Here is a 19,504-nt window from a genome sequence, read left to right as displayed (position 1 = left end):
AGTTTTTTGGTTGTGTGATTTTTCTTCTTTAGCCTGTTAATATGAGGGATTACATTGATGGATTCATGAATAATGAACCAGCCTCGAGTATCTCTGTGATAAATTCCACTTGGTCCTAGTGTATAGTTGTTTTACATGTTGCTGAATTTTACTTACTGTATTTTGTTAAGGGTGTTTACATTTAATTAAAAAAAATTTTCCCAGGTGTGGTAGTGCATGCCTGTAATCCCAGCTACTCAGGAGGGCTGAGGAGGGAGGATTGCTTGAGCCCAGGAGTTCGAGTCTAGCCTAGGCAACATTAATGAGACCCCATCTCTTTAAAAAAAAAAAAAAAAGGCAGGATGTTTACATTTATATTCATGATGGATTTTGGTTTGTAGGTTTCTTTCTCTTTTTGATACTTTTTGTTTTTGACTGATGATTAAAGAGGAAACACTCAGATAGTGTCCTCTCCCTCTTACTCTCCCAGAGGAAGAAAACAGTCATCAGTGACGAATGGCAGTTGCAGCAAAGCAACATCAAAAACCAGCTTTATGCTCAGGAGAGACCACTGTGCCTCCTTCTGTGGTTTCTAGTGCTCTACTCATTCAGAGAGACCTCTCTAATAATGAACTACAGAAATGATCCCTGAAAGTATAGTCTTTGGTACTATCTTTGTCTAGTTTTGATATCACATGGAAGACTATGAAACTCTTCATGGAAGATAGTGATGAAGAGCGCCAAGTCATGGAATGAATGAGTTGGGGCATAGGAACGTCAAAAAGAATCCAGCAGGGCAGCCTGGTGTGGTGGCGCATGCCTGTAATCCCAGCACTTTGAGAGGCTGAGGCAGGTGGATCACTTGAGGTCGAGTTCAAGACCAGCCTGGCCAACATGGTGAAACCTTCTTACTAAAAAGTACAAAAATTAGCCAGGCATGGTGGTGTACATCTGTAATCCCAGCTACTTGGGGGACTGAGGCATGAGAGTCGCTTGGACCCAGGAGGCGGAGGTTACAGTGAGCCAAGATTGTGCCACTGCACTCCAGCCTGGGCGACAGAGTGAGAGTCCATTTCAAAAAAAAAAAAAAAGAATCCAGTGGGGCAAAAGAATTCAGGAATTAGTGAAGAGAAATAGTGTAGTTTGGCTGTAAATACAGTTTTGAGGTGAGAGTAAGGCAGTGTACTGGAGGAGATTCAGTAAGGGATGGGGATGATGCCTGGCTTCATAGGTGGAAGAATTAGTGTAGTTGGTTTGTAGAGGCTCTTAGTTAATAATGATGTAGTAGGACTGGGATTATATTGACTGTAGAGAAAGTATTAAATATAAGAGTGTTAGGAAGCTGGGCGCGGTGGCTCACACCTGTAAGGCATGAGGCGGACGGATCACCTGAGGTCAGGAGTTCGAGACCAGCCTGGCCAACATGGCAAAACTCCATCTCTGCTAAAATACAAAAATTAGCCGGGCGTGGTGGCACACACCTGTAATCCCAGCTATTCGGGAGGCTGAGGCGGGAGAATCACTTGAACCTGGGAGGCAGAGGTTGCAGTGAGCCAAGATCACTGTACTTCAGCCTGGGCCACAGAGCCAGACTCCATCTCAAAAAAAAAAAAAAAAAAAAGTGTTAGGGAATGAGTATTAGAGGCAGATCCTGGACCTGGAGATGATGAGGAGACCAGGTGGAAGAATCAGTCTTGAGCAGGAAATCGGGCGCCTCTCTCTGGAGCTTCTGGGAAGGAGGGGATGGGCATGGAGAGAATGGGGTCCTTAGAAGTAATGTGAATGTCTGAGAGTGCCTCACATTTTGCTTGAGCAAACGGCTGTCCCTAGGGCTGAAGGAATAATAGGTCTACACAGAAATGGAAGCAAGTATTCTCTGCTGACACTCCCTATATGGATAGCTGTGAGGATGAATTAGAGCTTTGTTTAGGTTCTCAGGCCAGTTTGGGGGTTTAGTTTGCATTTGTTTTTGAGACAGACTGATGAGGACCACAAGTGGGGTGATCAGTATGGAAACTCTTATTTGAAAAATCTTCAAAACATGAAAAGTCATTGGAAGTTCTTGGAGTCAGCTGCTGAGTCTTAATCCTTTCCACCATTGACCATGAGAGAGGGACTTTGGCTTCATCCTCTGTTGAGGAGTTCGTAATCAGCAGGTCAGACTTAGTCTTCAGACCAGTTCTGCACAACCTCTTCCAGAAAATAAAAGAGAAAGGAACCTTCCCAATCCATTTTATGGTTCTGATACCAGAACCAGACAAGAATCAATTTCCATCCCCAGCAAAGTCATTCCTCTTCCTCATGACTCCATTGTGGGACACAGGATGCTGCTCTTCTCATGGGGCTGTCCTGGCACTCAGGGGACCATTTTCTGTTCTTGTTGCAGCTGCAGTCGACTTCGGCAGGTTCAGAGCATCCTGACCCAGAGCAGCAAGTCTCGGCCGGATGGGATCCTCTGCATCCTAGGTCAGTGCTTTTAACAAGGTGGGACTCAGGGCTTGGGCAACTTGGCTTTTTTTGTTCACAGGAAGGTATTAGTAATAGTAGCAATGTGAAATAAGCTGTGAGTTGGTGTCCTCCTAGTTCTTGTTCCCCCGAAATTTGTTGCTGTTTTAATGAGGTTAGATGAGCTATCAGTGAGATAGGAAGCCCATTTTTGGAGCTACTTCTGCCTTAAGCCCTTCTTTTAGCCTCACATATATAGCTGCCTCCTGCCATGACATGTCCCTCTTGCCCAGAGCCATACTCTGAGACTTCACAGACATCAGGACCTAGGTAATAAATATATACCTAAAGCATTGAGAGATGGTAGTGAAGACAGTATTGTTTAATTTCCTTTTTATTTGTCTCTAATTCAGCTCCTCTAGACTGTAAGCTTCATGAGGGTCATTTGCAGGCATGTTCACCACCATACCCCAGCATCTAGTACAGTGCTAGACCTTGAGCCTCATAATTGTAAAGTGATGGGTGTTTGTGGTTCCACTCACTTGTCCTCTTCTTCACATTATTGGGTTCTTGTCAAGCCACCTTAATCTGCCTTTGTTTGATCCCAAGTGTTTTGGTAAAGATCTCTTTGAAAGGTGAAGATTTTTCTGACCCCTATTCTTAAGCTAACTGAAAGCATTCCAAGATGAATCCTTTTCAGAAATTAACAGGCTCCATAATCTGTGCTGTTTGATTATCTCAATTACAAGACGTTGGAATTCAAGTAAAGGTACTTGATGCTGAGACCTGTTTCTTTCACAGAATTGGTTAGCTTGGTTTCTGGCACAAAACTGGTCTGAGCTGCGTCCTTCAGCTTGATCATCAGGGTTTTGCTAAGCAGGGGCAAATTATTGGCTCATTTGCTCCCTGTAGTATGGTACAGCTGATCAGAGCCTCCTTTGCCTTGCAGGAATCGATAGCAGGTACAATGAAGGCTGCAGAGAGCTGGCAAATTATCTTCTATTTGGTTTGTACAATCAGAATACCAGTGATTTTGAGAAAACGGGATTTTCTGAAGAAGTACTAGATGGTAAGTATATATTGGTAAACTCTGTGTGATAGAAGAGTAAGAGGTTTATTTATTTGGATCCTTATTTTATGGTCTTCTTATGGAATAAAATTTAAAATAGTCCAAAGCCCCAGTAAACGTTTGCTTTTTAAAGAATGAAAAAAACGGCATTTTTTCTTTGCTGATATATTTAGTAGCAACAAGTAGTTTTCAGAGTATATTTACTAATTCAGCTTTAGAGAAACAAGTAAACATCAGTGTTTGGCTTTATCTCTGTTTGGCAAAGTACTGGTTTTCCTCTTCATTGACCATTGCCTCTACATGCTAACGGTTCAGATTACATGGTGTTGTCCTGTGAAAGCACCTTCAGTTGTGAGGTAAGGATGGGCCTGCAGGCAGCTCCTACAAGGAAGATTTCTTGTGGCTTATCAGCTGAGGAACAAAGGCTCTTTGTCCTGCTGTCTTTGGGAATTATTTTCTCTGTGACTTTAATTCATGAAGATGCCTGTGACTACAATGCTGGATTTCTGTTTATATTCCCCTCTCCGTAGCACTGAGACACTCTGCCTGTGTTGATGCTGCTGGGGGCTATTGCCCAGGAGCTATCTCTGATATCACATATTTAGAATCATGTCTTGTATGCCAGATGGGTCAGGAGACACTGGAATAGACAAAATAAAAGTGGACAAGAGACAGACAGCTCTTGTGAGGCAGCTGGGGGAGGCATGAAAACAAACATCTGATGTGAAATAATATTGCTATGTGTCTAGTGCAGTAGTTCCCAACTGGGGGCAGTTTTGTCCTGCAGGGGACATTTGGCAATGTCTGAAGACATTTTTGATTGTCAAAACTGGGTAGGGGATGCCACTGGCATCTAGTGGATAGAGGCCAGAGATGATGCTAAACATCTACAATGCACAGAACAGTCACCTAGAACAAGGAATTCACTGATCTAAACTGTCAGTAGTGCCGAGGTTGAGAAATCCTGGTCTGGTATATATGAAAATTCTTCTCTGGTTAAGTCCTTAGTAGTGTTTATTCTTATAGACTGATTAAAGCTTTCCTTTTTATTAGGAAGTGCAAAAAGAGTAGACTGAAATTACTCCTTCCATTACAATTTTTTCCATTCAAATTTGGTTTCAGATTTTGATTACAAAATATTTTTTTCCTTACGCTATACAACATCTGCTGGTTTAGAAAAAAGCAATCTTGGCAGCTCATACCAGCCACACGTTTCACCTCAGCCCAGATTGCTAAGGACATTACAGTACTGAAATTAAGGAAATAGTTTAAATTCTTAAAGGTGTGCTTTTTTGCTTATTTTTGTTTTCATCTTTTCTTTTTGAAACAGAGTCCTGCTCTGTTGCCCAGGCCGGAGTGCAGTTGTGCGATCTTGGCTCACTGCATCCTCCACCTCCTGGGTTCGAGATTCCTCTGCCTCAGCCTCCCGAGTAGCCGGGATTACAGGCATGCACCACCATGCCCAGCTAATTTTTGAATTTTTAGTAGAGACAGGGTTTCACCATGTTGGCCAGGCTGGTCTCGAACTCCTGACCTCAGGTGATCCCGCCTTGGCCTCCCAAAGTGCTGAGATTACAGCTGTGAGCCACCACGCCTGGCCTGTTTTTATCTTTTTACCTGGCACAGTGGGTGCCTAGGAAATGAGCATTTTCCTACAAATTAATAAATTTGTTTATACAAGTAGTTGGAAAGCAGAGATCACCAAATTTCTACATTTTGATCTCATATGAGAGGGGGAAAGGCCAACATGAATTTACTTCTAAAAGCAACTTTTATTTATTTATTTATTTTGAGACAGAGTCTCGCTCTATCACCCAGGCTGGAGTGCAGTGGTGTGATATTGGCTCACTGCAGCCTCTGCCTCCTGGTGGAGTCTCCTGCCTCAGCCTCCCGAGCAGCTGGGATTACAGGCACCCGCCACCATGCCTGGCTAATTTTTGTATTTTTAGTAGGAAAGGGATTTCACCATGTTGGCCAGGCTGGTCTTGAACTCCGCTTGCCTTGGCCTCACAGTGTTGGGATTATAGGCATGAGCCACCGCACCAGCCTAAAAGCAGCTTTTAAATAGGTTACGTATTCATCCCATTCTCATATGCTTTCCTCTTTTACCTGACTGTAAACTCTGTTAAACTTTGGTTCATAGTGATAACACCAGAGTTCTAAGAGATTTGGGGAATGCTTACTTTAGGTTTAGTAACTACTATGTTATGTCTCTTACGGGATCCTAATTCTTTGAGGCATGTTACATTTTACTGTAGAGTATAATACACACCAGAAGCCCTCAGTCTTCAGGTAATAGCCAACTCTCATTCCTCTGCAGGTGGTCTACGAATGACTCAGGGAAGGGCTCTTGGAGGGAGTGTGTGAGAAGGACCAATATGCTGAGAGATGAGAGGGGCCTCCATTCCACCTTTTGCTACCCTTTGACTCTTGTGCTTACCTAAAGAGTCAATAGTGATGAGGCTGCTACATCCTGTGTTCCCTGGAACACCCTGGGCCTTACAGGCATGGGGCTTAGAGTGGCTTAAAAGGTCAGACCCATGGAGTTTTATTTCAGGAGGCCACTCAGCTGTGTGGTCAGATGTGGTCAGTATTTATTGGGCTTATAAGATGTTTTTGTCAGGTGTGGTCTGTCACACTGTATTACCCTTTTGACGTTGTCCTACACCTGCTGCATCAGGTGTTCTCTGCCCCTATGCGTGTGCCTTTCTTACCTCTGACAGCATCTAGTTCCATCTTGTTAGGAGGCCTAATGGCTCTTGTTTCTGAGGAGCCATAGAATGGGGCCTCTGGTTTTCTTCTGGAAGTATGACTGCCTTTGTCCTCAGTTGTCAAACTGCTTTAATATTCTACTCCATCCCATGGCTCTTCCATTTACCTAGGTTTATTTGCATTCTTGGGATTGCTTTATTTACTTCACCCATGAGCATTGAAGACTATTCCTTAAATCTGTAAGCTGCTGATCTATTTATAGAAGCTCTTTCCACTGGCCTCTACTTCCTTCCTCCCAGTCTTTCCTGCGTACAAAGCTCACCACTGCACACAATAACTCTTCCTAAAGGGACAAGCAGTATCGTTGGGCCTGCAGTTGCCTTAGAGCCAGATGAGCCAACAGCTGAGAGCTTTAGACACTGATGTCTGAGGGACAACTAGTCACTGGCCATATTTGGTGCTGTTTCCCTGCCTCAGTGGCCTTAGGCTGTGGGGTTTCCATATGGTATTGACCTCTGCAGTGAAGTACTCAGCTATGTCTGGTCCCATAGATGTGACTATGTGAACACTATGCCTCAGTAGATGGAGGCTGTTCTTTGACTCGTTCTGCAACTGCATTGCCAGACCCAGAGGGCCATGGTAGGGGGAGTATTGTTTGGGGACTAGGAAATTCTTGCTGTCAACATTTGAAAGTTCTAAAGTCACTTTGAAGCTGTAAACCAAAAATAAAATTCTAAGCCCTCCAACCAATTGAATGGACCCCCTTGTTGGCCAAGGGCATTCCAAAGTAAACTTGAAAAACGAGTTCAAGCCAGGATAGGAAGTGGAGGTTGGCAGTGCCTCATTATGTCCTCTTCCTTTTGGAATTCAGGCATAACTGACCAACATTAACATTAAAACAGAGATCTTGGCCAGGTGCAGTGGCTCACACCTATAATCCTAGCACTTCAAGGCCAAGGTGACTGGATCACTTGAGCTTAGGAGTTCGAGACCAGCCTGGGCAACATGGCAAAACCCTGTCTCTACAAAAAAAAAATAAAAATTAGCCAGGCATGGTGGCGCTCACCTGTAGCCCCAGCTTCTTGTGGGGCTGAGGCAGGAGGATTGAGCCTGGGAGACAGAGGTTGCAGTGAACCTATATCATGCCACTGCACTCCAGCCTGGGTGACAGAGTGAAACCCTGTCAAAAAAAAAAAAAGAAAGAAAACAGATCTTAAGACCAACCAAATTGCTGTTGTATAGCAGTAAGGTACATCACATAGCAGATAGCAGACCCTGAAAGAAATCTAAGTATTTTATCCCAAAATATACTCCTTTGACATATTTTTAAATGGTGCTGCAAAGCTGTCTCTTGTCAGAGAAATCTACATTCTGTAGAGAATCCCTTTCACTTTCCAGGTCTTTTCCTGATCCAGGGGAGATCAACTAAGAATCTGGTACCTTTTTAAGTCTGATAAACATTTACCTTCTATTGTTTCTGAAGCCTGCTACCTGGAGGCTTTACTTGCATAATAAGAACCTTGGTCTCCACAACCGCTTATCTTAGCCCAGACATTCTGTTGATTCCAGGTCTGTATTTATTTTTATTTTTATTTTTTGAGACGGAGTCTCACTCTGTCGCCCAGTCTGGAGTGCAGTGGTGCAATCTCAGCTCACTGCAACCTCTGCCTCCCAGGTTCAAATGACTCTCCTGCCTCAGCCTCCTGAGTAGCTGGGATTACAGGTGCGCGCCACCACACCCGGCTAATTTTTGTGTTTTTGTTTTTAGTAGAGACGGGGTTTCACCATGTTGGTCAGGCTGGTCTCAAACTCCTGACCTCGTGATCCATCCGCCTCAGCCTCCCAAAGTGCTGGGATTACAGGCGTGAGCCACCGTGCCCAGCCCTGATTCCAGATCTTTAGGTAATAAAACTTAACTCTTTCAACCAATTGCCAGTCAGAAAATCTTTGAATCCACCTATATGACACGAAAGGACCCTTTCACTCCTGACCCCGACTTTCTGGACCAAACCAAATGTACACTTTACATGTGTTGGTTGATGTCTGCTGGTAACTTCTGTTTCCCTAAAAAGTCTAAAATCAAGCTGTTATCCAGCCATTTTGGGTACATGTTCTCAGGACCTCCTGAGGGTATGTCACAGGCATGTCCTTAAACTTGGCAAAATAAACTTCAAAATTGATTGAGACTTGTCTCAGATACTTTTTGGTTTACAAGGCACAGTGCTTAATTAAATAATTTTCAGTTTAGAGTTTTGTTACATTGTCTCTGAAGTAGTTTCAATGGTTTTACTAATTATGTGGGCAGAAAATATCTAAAAGAAATGTGTTTGACAGTCTTGTGTTTTGATTTTGTTTTTCTTACAGATGTAATTATATTGATTAAATCGGATAGCGTCCATCTGTACTGTAATCCTGTAAACTTTCGCTATCTCTTACCTTATGTGGCACATTGGAGAAATCTGCATTTCCACTGCATGACCGAAAATGAGGTAAGAAGAAAAGAGAAGACAGGCACCTAGAGACACTCTAAGAATACTCTTTAAGGAAAGTGTTGATCTGAAATAGGATCAGCAATCAAATTGCAGAGTGTGACTATATAAAAAAGATTATCTGTTTGAAGTGGAGAATTTCATATTTCGTTTTGAGGCTACCTTATAGATAAATTGTATGCCTGTGGAGACAAAAGGAGGCTGTTCAAATTGGGACCTAGTGGTAAGTTTATGAACTTAACTTTTTGCCTGCTTCTTCATCACCATCCTGAATCCCATCTCTTAGGGGATTAGTGCCTAGGGACTGCCCTGGGATTTTTTTTTTTTTCTGGGACGGAGTCTCACTCTGTCGCCCAGGCTGGAGTGCAGTGGCACAGTCTCGGCTCACTGCAACCTCGACCTCCCAGGTTCAAGCAATTCTCCTGTCTCAGCCTCCCGAGTAGCTGGGACAACAGGCACCTGGCTAATTTTTGTATTTTTAGTAGAGACGGAGTTTTGTTACATTGGTCAGACTGGTCTCAAACTCCTGACTTTAGGTGATCCGCCCACCTCAGCCTCCCAAAGTTCTGGGATTACAGGCGTGAGCCACCATGCCTGGCTCCCTGGGAGAATTTTTTAAGCTTTCTGACATTCCTGTGTTTGAATGTCTTGGTATCTGTTTTTCTTTCCCTTTGGGCCCTTTTCAGGGGTTTGACTGGAAATCAAGTTTGGATTTGAGATTTAGGATTTCATGAAAGTTGTGACCTGATACTGGTCAAGAACACTTCCTCCCATATGAGTATTTGGCGGAATTTTTTGGGGGAAAAGTGTTATCTCTTGCATTTAGGTTTCCTGATCCATTTCAGTTGATTTTTGGGTATAATATGAAATAAGGGCATAACAAGTCTTTCTGACTAGCAAATGAAAAAGGTTGGCTTTGGAAACACCTCCTTGGGTGCAGTCCTCTGTAAATGTCATTTGGGACAACTCTGGTTGACAAAATGCAGAGAAAATATGGGAATTTGTGTGATATCTCATCAGAGCTTATTTTTCTTTTGATTTGTCTCTTCAGTATGAAGATGAAGAAGCCGCAGAAGAATTTAAAATTACCAGCTTTGTGGACATGGTTCGAGACTGTAGTAGAATTGGCATTCCTTACAGCTCCCAAGGTGAGTATCTGACAGCAAGCCTTCTAGAACCTTGCTTAGGTGGTGTGTGAATTGAACGTCACTACTTTTCCTTTCATTGGGGGCATTCAGCTGAGAAACCCCTTCGTCTATTTTTACCAAAGACATCAAGCAGAATTAAGTATGGGGACTTTTCTGTGCAAGCTTGTATTAATTACTGTGAAGTTTCTGCAGCAACACAGCAGGCTGCCCAAAATCAGGTAGAAGAACTGATACAGAATTTAGCACAATTGACATGGCTGTATCACTTACTATACAAAGAGTATAGTATAGATGTTGGGGCATCTTGGTAATAAGAAAGAGGGATTTGGATAACTTCTAAAAAGATATGCTGACATGTTTTTAAATGATGTGTAAAATACAGGGAAAAACTATCAAGTTTAGCAGTGCTTGTATTGCAACAACAAAAAGAAAAAACCTTGCACATTGAAGCTATTGTTAACAAGAAAGGAACATTTTTGATTTAGTAGTTTTCCCTTGAGGAAGTTGATTGGCTGTGTTTCTTAAGGGAAAGGAGCCAACTTTGTGTCTGTTAATAATTATTCCCACTGAATGATGCAAGTCAGATATAATAGACTACTCTTATTTTTTACTTAATTTACTCAGGAAACTGGAATGTTACAATATACTGTAAAGAAATCTGAATGTGACTTGTTTATGGTTTGAATTTTCCTTGACTTTCATTTTGTATTTCTAGTTTCAATATCTAACCATTTTATCTGTTTGTATTTTATTTTGCTAGGTGAGGCCCTGGTGACCACGTGAGAAATGATACCTGTCTAACCATGTTAGGTCAGGTTTAGACTGTTATATTCAGGATGGTATCTGATATGTGTTGTTGTATTTGATTCTTCTAGGTCACTTGCAGATATTTGATATGTTTGTGGTGGAGAAATGGCCAATTGTACAGGCCTTTGCACTTGAGGGCATTGGAGGGGATGGATTTTTTACCATGAAATATGAGGTATGTATGAAAAGCAGTATGCCTAGTTTTTGTCTGCCACTGGGCTGTTTTTATGAAGAACCCATGTGAGTGTGCATTATTATAACACCAAAAAGCTGGCAGTTACCTCACAAGGGCATGGAGCAAGTTAGGAGACTTGAAATGGAAAATAGTTGCTGCTAAAGGCTAGTCCCAGACTGAGGTCCTGTGTCCTTTCTTCTTGGAGTTCTTCTCCGTCCTTCCTCTCCCTTACCCCATTCTCAGCTGACTGTTCTTCCTGTCTGCTCCTGTAGCCCCCTAGATTGACTTTTCCTACAGCTTTTATGATCCTGTTATTACACATTTGTCACACTCACCCACTTGCCCACCAACCCATCCACCCTGGTCTTTGTACTGGAAGCTCCTTAAGTACAAAAACATAACTTGTTGTTGTTTGTACCTCAGAAATTTATATAATTTGAGAACTATTCAAGATCAATGAAAGGGACAGTGCAGAATTTGGATAAGTACAATGTACTAGAGGAATGGAAAGATTAGCTTTTTTGGTAAGAGCAGTGTCTTTTATTTCAGCATTCCTTGCATCTAGAAAATGACCAGTAAATATTTCTTAAGTGAGTCTGGGACAGTGTGTGGTCCAGAGTACAGATTAAGGAAAATGGCTTGATAGGTTAGCAGCATGACCACGAGTATCCATGTGCCTCCATGGGATCCCCACTGAAATGACCTGCCCAGTACAGGAAACCAGGGACGGGGAACATTGTCATGCTAGAAATGGGGACATCCTATTAGGGAGAGAGTAAGTGGGTCCCTTAGAAGCAAGGCACAGAGCTAATTTCTACCCCTCTGAGAAGTACTGGCATCCCTAGCAGATGACTGGAGGCTTGCCTGGGAGAACTATCACATCCTCTGAAATGGAGCAGCATGGGCTGTGGGGCTGAAGGGAAGCATACCACTTGGACTCCACTTTTCCTTTTGCAAAATCACAGTATTCTCACATTGACTACAAGTAGCAGAACATCCACAAAGCTGTGGAAGCTTCCCCTACTGGGAATTAATGCTGTCTAACTTAGAAGAGTAGGGGCTTGAAGGGAGGCAGACCATAGGGGTTAGAGAAGAAACTTAACATTTTTATAATATTAATTAATAATGGTAATATTTATTTTTAATTAATTGTATGAACTAGGTCTGAGTGCCTACTATATGCCAGGTACTTTTCTAAGCACTTTATGTGAATTGACTGATTTCATTCTTATAGTAACCCTCTGAGGTAGGTATAGTAACCCTCTGAGGTACATCCCCGTTCAAGAGCAATTAAATGAATTTCCCAGTTTCACAGAGCTAGTGAGAGGCAGAGCTGGGGCCAGGTCCAGATGGTCTGGTTTCAGAGCCTGTGCTCCTAACCACTGGGCTGCAGCTAGAATCACATTGGAAGAAGTGCACTGGGAGGCCACATAGTTGACATAACCCAAATGAGAGAGGTTTTCTGACCTTAAGGTGCATCACACTATGAAGTCACATTCAAAAAGAACGTTATCTCCTTCCAAAAAACACCTTTGAAAAGTAATGTAGATCTTTACATTAGGATGATGTTTTTAGGAAATGGGATGGGCCATGAAGAAGAAATGGTACACATCATAAAGGAAGAGTTACTATAGGTCTTCTCTAGGTCCCTCTCTCCACATCCTGCCCTTTTCTGTAGCTGCTCACTTTTATTTTCAGATACTTTCCTTCAGGCACATTTCATTCTACCCCACCTCAGTCTTCTTTCCCCTGCCCTTCCCAGTGCTTTGAGGTGTGGAGCAGTTTGGCCTACAGATGGGCTCTGCCAGTGCCCTCTCTACTCCACTCTGATGGCCTGATGACTGCCTGAGCCAGAAAGGCTCTTGCCTCCTTTGCAGGCTAAGAAAAGGAGAGCTATACTTAATAACTTAATTTTTAAAACTTGTGTTGTATTATATGGCCATACCCAGAAGAAAGTCATTAGCCCAGATGTGTTTTGTTCCTCATGTGGTAGGTGCCAGCATGAGAAAGAAAACCAGGCCCAGCCACAGCTTTTACTTGCCATTTATGCTGGGCCAAACTGAGTCATCGATATAGATAATTTTTTCTTCCTGGGAAGCAGTACAGGGAAGTTCCTCTGCTAGGGCGTTTTCTGCCTCTAACTTCCTCCTTCTTACTCTCCCACTGCTGGAACTGTGATCTGGTAATGTAAATTTACATCAATCAGCTCCACAAGGGGAGGATCCTAATAGCAAACCTCTAAATAATGAGTAACCAGTGAGCATTCATTCATCTGTTTATGGACAAATAGATCTTCATATTGAAAGATAGAATAAGAATTAGGAAAAGGGTCAACAAAATGTAAGAAAGAGACCACAACATATTAGATGCAGGGATAGATCAGCATGCTTTAAAAAAAGATTTTCTGCCGGGCGCGGTGGCTCACACCTGTAATCCCAGCACTTTGGGAGGCCGAGGCGGGCGGATCACGAGGTCAGCAGATCGAGACCATCCTGGGTAACACGGTGAAACCCCGTCTCTACTAAAAATACAAAAAATTAGCCGGGCGTGGTGGCAGGCGCCTGTAGTCCCAGCTACTCGGGAGGCTGAGGCAGGAGAATGGCGGGAACCCGGGAGGCGGAGCTTGCAGTGAGCCGAGATAGCGCCACTGCACTCCAGCCTGGGCCACAGAGCGAGACTCCAGTCTCAAAAAAAAAAAAAAAAAAAAAAAAAAAGATTTTCTTCAAGGAACAAAAATAATTGAGAAAATTTCTCTTTTTGGTACTTTTTAGGAACAGAATTTATAAAAAGAGAAATGAGATCTAGCAATGAGGTGAGCAATCAAAATTAAAAAGGGAGATGGAAGACATATAAGAAAAGATTGTAGGAAGTCTCAAAATTTATTAGTAGAATGAAAACTTACATTAAAAAAAGATATAAAAAATCTAATCAGTTGACACACTTGAAAAGCTTTTCCAGAATACAGAGGAAGGGGCCAAGTAGATTAAAGCAATGGGAAGGAAGATGATGAAGTGGAGAATAGAGAATGGAAATTGGTGATATTGAAAGGAAAGAATTAAATTAAAGGTTGTTATGTAATAGTCTGTACCTCCCTCTACCGCTCTCCTCTCCCCTCAAGTGACAGTCAACCAGGCATTTGCAGATGCCACCTCCACCCTAGGAAAAACAAAGAAGAGATTTGGGTGGAGGTTTTGTAAAAAAACTGAAAAGGGCCTGGTGAGTGGCTCACACTTGTAATCAAGCCTAGCACTTTGGGAGGCCAAGGCGGGAGGATCGCGTGAAGCCAGGAGTTCAAGACCAGCCTGGCAACAAAAAAATTTTAAAAAAATTAGTCGGGCACGGCTGGGCGCGGTGGCTCAAGCCTGTAATCTGAGCACTTTAGGAGGCTGAGGCGGGTGGATCATGAGGTCAAGAGATCGGGACCGTCCTGGCCAACATGGTGAAACCCCGTCTCTACTAAAAATACAAAAATTAGCTGGGCATGGTGGCAGGCACCTGTCATCCCAGCTACTCAGGAGGCTGAGGCAGGAGAATCACTTGAACCTGGGAGGTGGAGGCTGCAGTGAGCCAAGATCATGCCACTGCACTCCAGCTGGACGACAGTGTGAGACTCCATCTCAAAAAAAAAAAAATTAGCGAGGCACAGTGGCATGTACCTACAGTCCCACCTACTTGGGAGGCTGAGGCCGGAGGATAGCTTGAGCCCTGGAGCTCCAGGCTGCAGTGGGCTGATTGAACCACTGCACTCCAGCCTGAGCAACAGAGTGAGACACTGTCTCAAAATAAATAAATAAAAATGAAATAAATAAACTGAAAGGCAAGACAAAACCAAGAGATTTCATTGGCTAGTGTAGTTTTTGCTTCCTGAGAGTAAACCTGTTCACATTTTGGCATGTAGAATATAAGGGGATGGAGACCCAGTAATAGAAGCTCTGCATAACAGTTATCAGGAATATACACCTTCCAGTTAGCCTTTTCATTGCCTCATTTCAAAGTATGAATAGGAAGCCAAAGATCACCAGACATTTGATTAAACAGCAGTAACTCAAAAGAAAAAGATCAATTTTTTTTTTTAAAAGAAGACCAGTTCATTAAGACCCAAAGATAATTTAAGGTATAGAAGAAAACTTGACATAAAACTCTTTTTGGATGCCCAGAAAAATGTAAGATTTGTCAACCATAGGACAAGTGAATGTTGTAATAACTGAATGTATGGAAAATACGAGCTCTAGGAAATCATAATTGATAAAATCAATAGAGGGGTGGAAGGTAAAGTTAGGAAACTCCTTAGAAAGGTAAAATAAAAACATCACGGAGATAGAAAATATTGATAAAAAAGTTAAAAGACTTTAACCTTTAAAGTTAACTTTAGGCCGGGCTTGGTGGCTCACACCTGTAATCCCAGCACTTTGGGAGGCTGAGGCAGGCAGATCACTTGAGGTCAGGAGTTCAAGACCAGCTCGGTCAACACAGCGAGACCCCCGTCTCTACTAAAAATAGAAAAGTAGCCGGGTGTGGTGGCACACGCCTGTAGTCCCAGCTACCTGGGAGGCTGAGGCAGGAGAATTGCTTAAACCCAGGAAGTGGGGGTTGCAGTGAGCTGAGATCGCACCACTACACTCCAGCCTGGGCGAAAGAGCGAGACTCCATCTGAAAAAAAAAAAAAAGTTAACTTTAAATGTTAGAAGACTGATCTAAGAAGTCTAATATCCAATGAGTAGAATTTCTGGAAAGAGGAGGCCACGATACCATAAGGGAAGAAATCTTTTTAAAACATAAACATTCCCAATCATAAAGAGAAATAAAAGGTTTTAAATTAAATCACTTAAGTATGAATGGGAAGAGGAAAAAAAACCCTTAAATCTGTCCGTGACATTTCAGACACTAAGGATAAAAGAATATCCTTTTTTTTTTTTTTGAGACAGAGTTTTACTCTCCTTGCCCAGGCTGGAGTGCAATGGCACGATCTTGGCTCACTGCGACCTCTGCCTCCCAGGTGCAAACGATTCTCCTGCCACAACCTCCCGAGAAGCTGGGATTACAGGCATGCTCCACCATGCCTGGCTAATTTTGTATTTTTAGAGAAATGGGGTTCACCTTGTTGGCCAGGGTGGTCCCAAACTCCTGACCTCAGGTGATCTGCCTTCTCGGCTTCTGAAAGCTGGGATTACAGGCGTGAGCCACCTGCACCCAGCCTGGATGAAAGAATATCTTTAAAAGCTTCCAGGATGGCCGGGCGCAGTGGCTCATGCCTGTAATCCCAGCACTTTGGGAGGCCGAGGCGGAGGGATCACGAGGTCAGGAGATCGAGACCATCCTGGCTAACACGGTGAAACCCTGTCTCTACTTAAAAAAAAAAATACAAAAATTAGCCGGGCTTGGTGGCGGGCACCTGTAGTCCCAGCTACTCGGGAGGCTGAGGCAGGAGAATGGCGTGAACCTGGGTGGCGGAGCTTTCAGTGAGCTGAGATCATGCCACTGCACTCCAGCCTGGGCGAAAGAGCAAGACTCTGTCTCAAAAAAAAAAAAAAAGCTTCCAGGAAGTTGGTCAGTAAGTTTGGCCAAAAAAGAAAAAAAAAGGCTTCCAGGAAGAAAAAACAAGTCACCCACCACAAAACAACAAAAACTGGTTCCCAAACCAACAAAAGCCCCCCAAAACAAAAACACAAACTAGGCATCAGGCAGTGAGGAATCCTGATTCCCTGAGAGACGGAAACAATCAATGTGAGCCCCTTGATGGTACTAGCTTATCACTTTGAGAAAGTTTCCAGACACAGCATAGAGAAGAGAGGATCCAGGTGGTGCCCAGCGCACTCCCTGAGTTAGGAGATGCAGCTGGGAGTCTGCGGGGACCAAAGCAGTTAGAGTACTAAAGAGGAAAGAACCGTCCAAAGATTCCCCTTGCCCCAGTCGGTACTCAGCAGAATACTGATCAGTGCAGTCATGTGTGTGGTAACTACTCAAGGTCAAGAGAAACCTATCTGAAAGGATTCGAGGATAGTGCCTGATGTGTGTTCTGGGCTGAGAACAGTGCCTGTTTTCACCAGTTAGACTGGCAAAACACATACAGGCCTATCTTAATTTATTGTGCTTTGGTTTGCTGCACTTTGTAGATATTGCTTTTTTTTTTTTTTAAACAAATTGATGGTTTGTGGCAGCCTGCATCCAGCAAGCCTGTTGGCTCCAATTTTCCAACAGCACGTGTTCACTTTGTGTCTCTGTGTCGCATTTTGGTAATTCTCATAATATTTCAAGCTTTTTCATTTTTATTATATCTGTTATGATAATCCATGATGAGTGATCTCTGATGTTACCATCAGAATTGTTTTGGGGCATCACAAACTGCACTCATATGAGATGATGAACTTAAATGATGTGTGTGTTCTGACTGCTTCACTGACTGGCTGTTCCCTCGTTTTTTGCTTTATCCTGACTTCCCTATTCATTGACCATAACAATATTGAAATTAGGCCAATTAATAACCCTACAATGGCCAATAAAGGTTCAAGTGAAAGGAAGAGTCACAATTCTCTCATTTTAAATCAAAAGCTGGAAATGGTTAAGCTTGGTGAAGGAGGCATGTTGAAAGCCAAGACAGGCTGAAAGCTAGACCTCTTGCACCAAACAGCTAAGTTGTGAATGCAAAGGAAAAGTTCTTGAAGGAAACTAAAAGCACTACTTCACTGAACACAAATTATAAGAAAGTGAAACAACCGTATTGCTGATACGGAGAAACTTTGAGTGGTCTGGATAAAAGATCAACCAACCAAAACATTCCGTTAAACCAAAGCCTAATCCAGAGCAAAGCCCTAACTCTCTTTAATGTGAAGGCTGAGAATGGTGAGGAAGCTGCAGAAGAAAAGTTTAAAGCTAGCAGAGGTTGATTTATGAGGTTTAAGGAAAGAAGCTGTCTCTAAAACATAAAAGTGCAAGATGAAGCAGTAAGTGCTGATGTAGAAGCTGCAGCAAGTTATTCAGAAGATCTGCCTCAGATAGTTGATGAAGGTAGCTACGCTAAACAACAGATTTTCAGTGCTGACAACAGCCTTGTATAAGAAGACGATGCCATCTAGGACTTTCTTTTTTATTTTTATTTTTTTAATTTTTTTTTTTTTTAATTTTTGAGGCAGAGTCTCACCGTGTTGCCCAGGCTGGAGTGCAGTGGTGTGATCACGGCTCAGTGTAGCCTTGACCTCCCAAACTCAAGCCATCCTCCCACCTCAGCCTCCCACCTAGCTGGGACTACAGGGGTACACCACCATGCCCAGCTAACTTTTTTATTTTTTGTAGAAATGGGGTCTCACCGTGTTGCCAGGACTGGTCTTGAACTCCTGGGCTCAAGTGATCCTCCCACCTCGGCCTCCCAAAGTCCTGGGATTACATGTGTGAGCCACAGCGCCCAGCCTCTAGGACTTTCATAAATAGAGAGAAGTCAGTGCCTAGTTTCAAAGGACAGCCTGACTCTCTTGTTAGGGGCCAGTGCAGCTGGTGACTTTAAGTTGAAGCCAGTGCTCATTTACCATTCTGGAAATCCTAGGGCCCTTAGGGATTATGCCAAATCTACTCTGTGCTCTTTAAATGGATCACCAAAGGCTGGATGATAGCACATCTGTTTACAGCATGGCTTACTGAATATTTTAAGCCCACTATTGAGTCCTACTTCTCAGAAAAAAAAAATTCCTTTCAAGTATTACTGCTGATTGACAGGGCAGCTAGACAGCAAAGAGCTCTAATGGAGGTATACAAGAGGATTAATGTTGTTTTCATGCCTACTAACACAACATCCATTCTGCAGCCCATGGATCAAGTCATTTCGACTTTCAAGGCTTATTATTTAAGAAATACATTTTGTTAGGCAATAGATTCCTCTGATGGATCTGGGCAAAAAAAAATTGAAAGCCTTCTCAAAAAGATTCACCAATCTAGATGACATTAAGGGCATTCATGATTCATAGGAGGATGTCAGAATAACAACATTAACAGGAGTTTGCGAGAAGTGGATTCCAGCTCTCATGAATGACTTTGAGGGATTCAAGACTTCAGTGGAGGGAGTCACTGCAGATTTGGTAGAAATAGCAAGACAACTAGAATTAGAAGTGGAGCCTGAAGATGTGACTGACTTGCTGCAATCTTATGTTAAAAACTTCAATGGATGGGGAGTTGCTTCTTATGGATGAGTAAAGAAAGTGGTTTCTTGAGATGGAATCTACTCCTGGTGAAGATGCTGTGAACATTGTTGAAACTTCAACAAAGAACTTAGAATATTCTGCAAACTTAGTTAATAAAGCAGTGGCATGGTTTGAGAGAATTGACTCTAATTTTGAAAAAAGTTCTACTGTGGGTAAAATGCTATCACGGCCAGGCACGGTGGCTCATGCCTGTAATCCCAGCACTTTGGGAGGCCAAGGTGGGCGGATCACCTGAGGTCAGAAGTTCAAGACCAGCCTGACCAATATGGTGAAACCCTGTCTCTACTAAAAATACAAAAATTAGCTGGGCATGGTGGTATGCCCCTGTAATCCCAGCTACTCAGGAGGCTGAGGCAAGAGAATCGCTTGAACCCGGGAGGCAGAGGTTGCAGTGAGCTGAGATCACGCCACTGCTCCCCAGCCTGGGCAACAGAGCGAGACTCCTCCTAAAAATAAATAAATAAATAAATAAATAAATAAATAAAATGTTA

General features: G+C 42.9%; 1 protein-coding gene and 1 non-coding gene across 4 annotated transcripts in view; one reads left to right on the top strand and one right to left on the bottom strand.

Annotated features, from left to right (window-relative positions):
- DNAAF9 (dynein axonemal assembly factor 9) overlaps positions 1-19,504 on the top strand; it is a 158,364-nt gene that overhangs the window by 22,798 nt on the left and 116,062 nt on the right. For all 3 annotated transcript variants that reach the window (XM_005260684.5, NM_001009984.3, XM_047440081.1), the window contains exons 2-6: positions 2,366-2,445; positions 3,374-3,493; positions 8,570-8,694; positions 9,746-9,842; positions 10,718-10,824. In XM_005260684.5, coding sequence (XP_005260741.1) covers positions 2,366-2,445; positions 3,374-3,493; positions 8,570-8,694; positions 9,746-9,842; positions 10,718-10,824 — 529 coding nt within the window. The remainder of the gene's footprint in view (positions 1-2,365; positions 2,446-3,373; positions 3,494-8,569; positions 8,695-9,745; positions 9,843-10,717; positions 10,825-19,504) is intronic.
- On the bottom strand, positions 432-643 carry LOC124904983 (small nucleolar RNA U3). The gene has a single exon (XR_007067772.1). It is a non-coding gene; the product is annotated as a small nucleolar RNA U3 (small nucleolar RNA).

Source organism: Homo sapiens, chromosome 20, assembly GCF_000001405.40.
Source record: "Homo sapiens chromosome 20, GRCh38.p14 Primary Assembly".
Classification (NCBI taxonomy): Eukaryota; Metazoa; Chordata; class Mammalia; order Primates; family Hominidae; genus Homo; species Homo sapiens.
The sequence above is the reverse complement of the archived record's forward strand: the minus strand, read 5'-3'. Positions and strand labels throughout refer to the sequence as shown.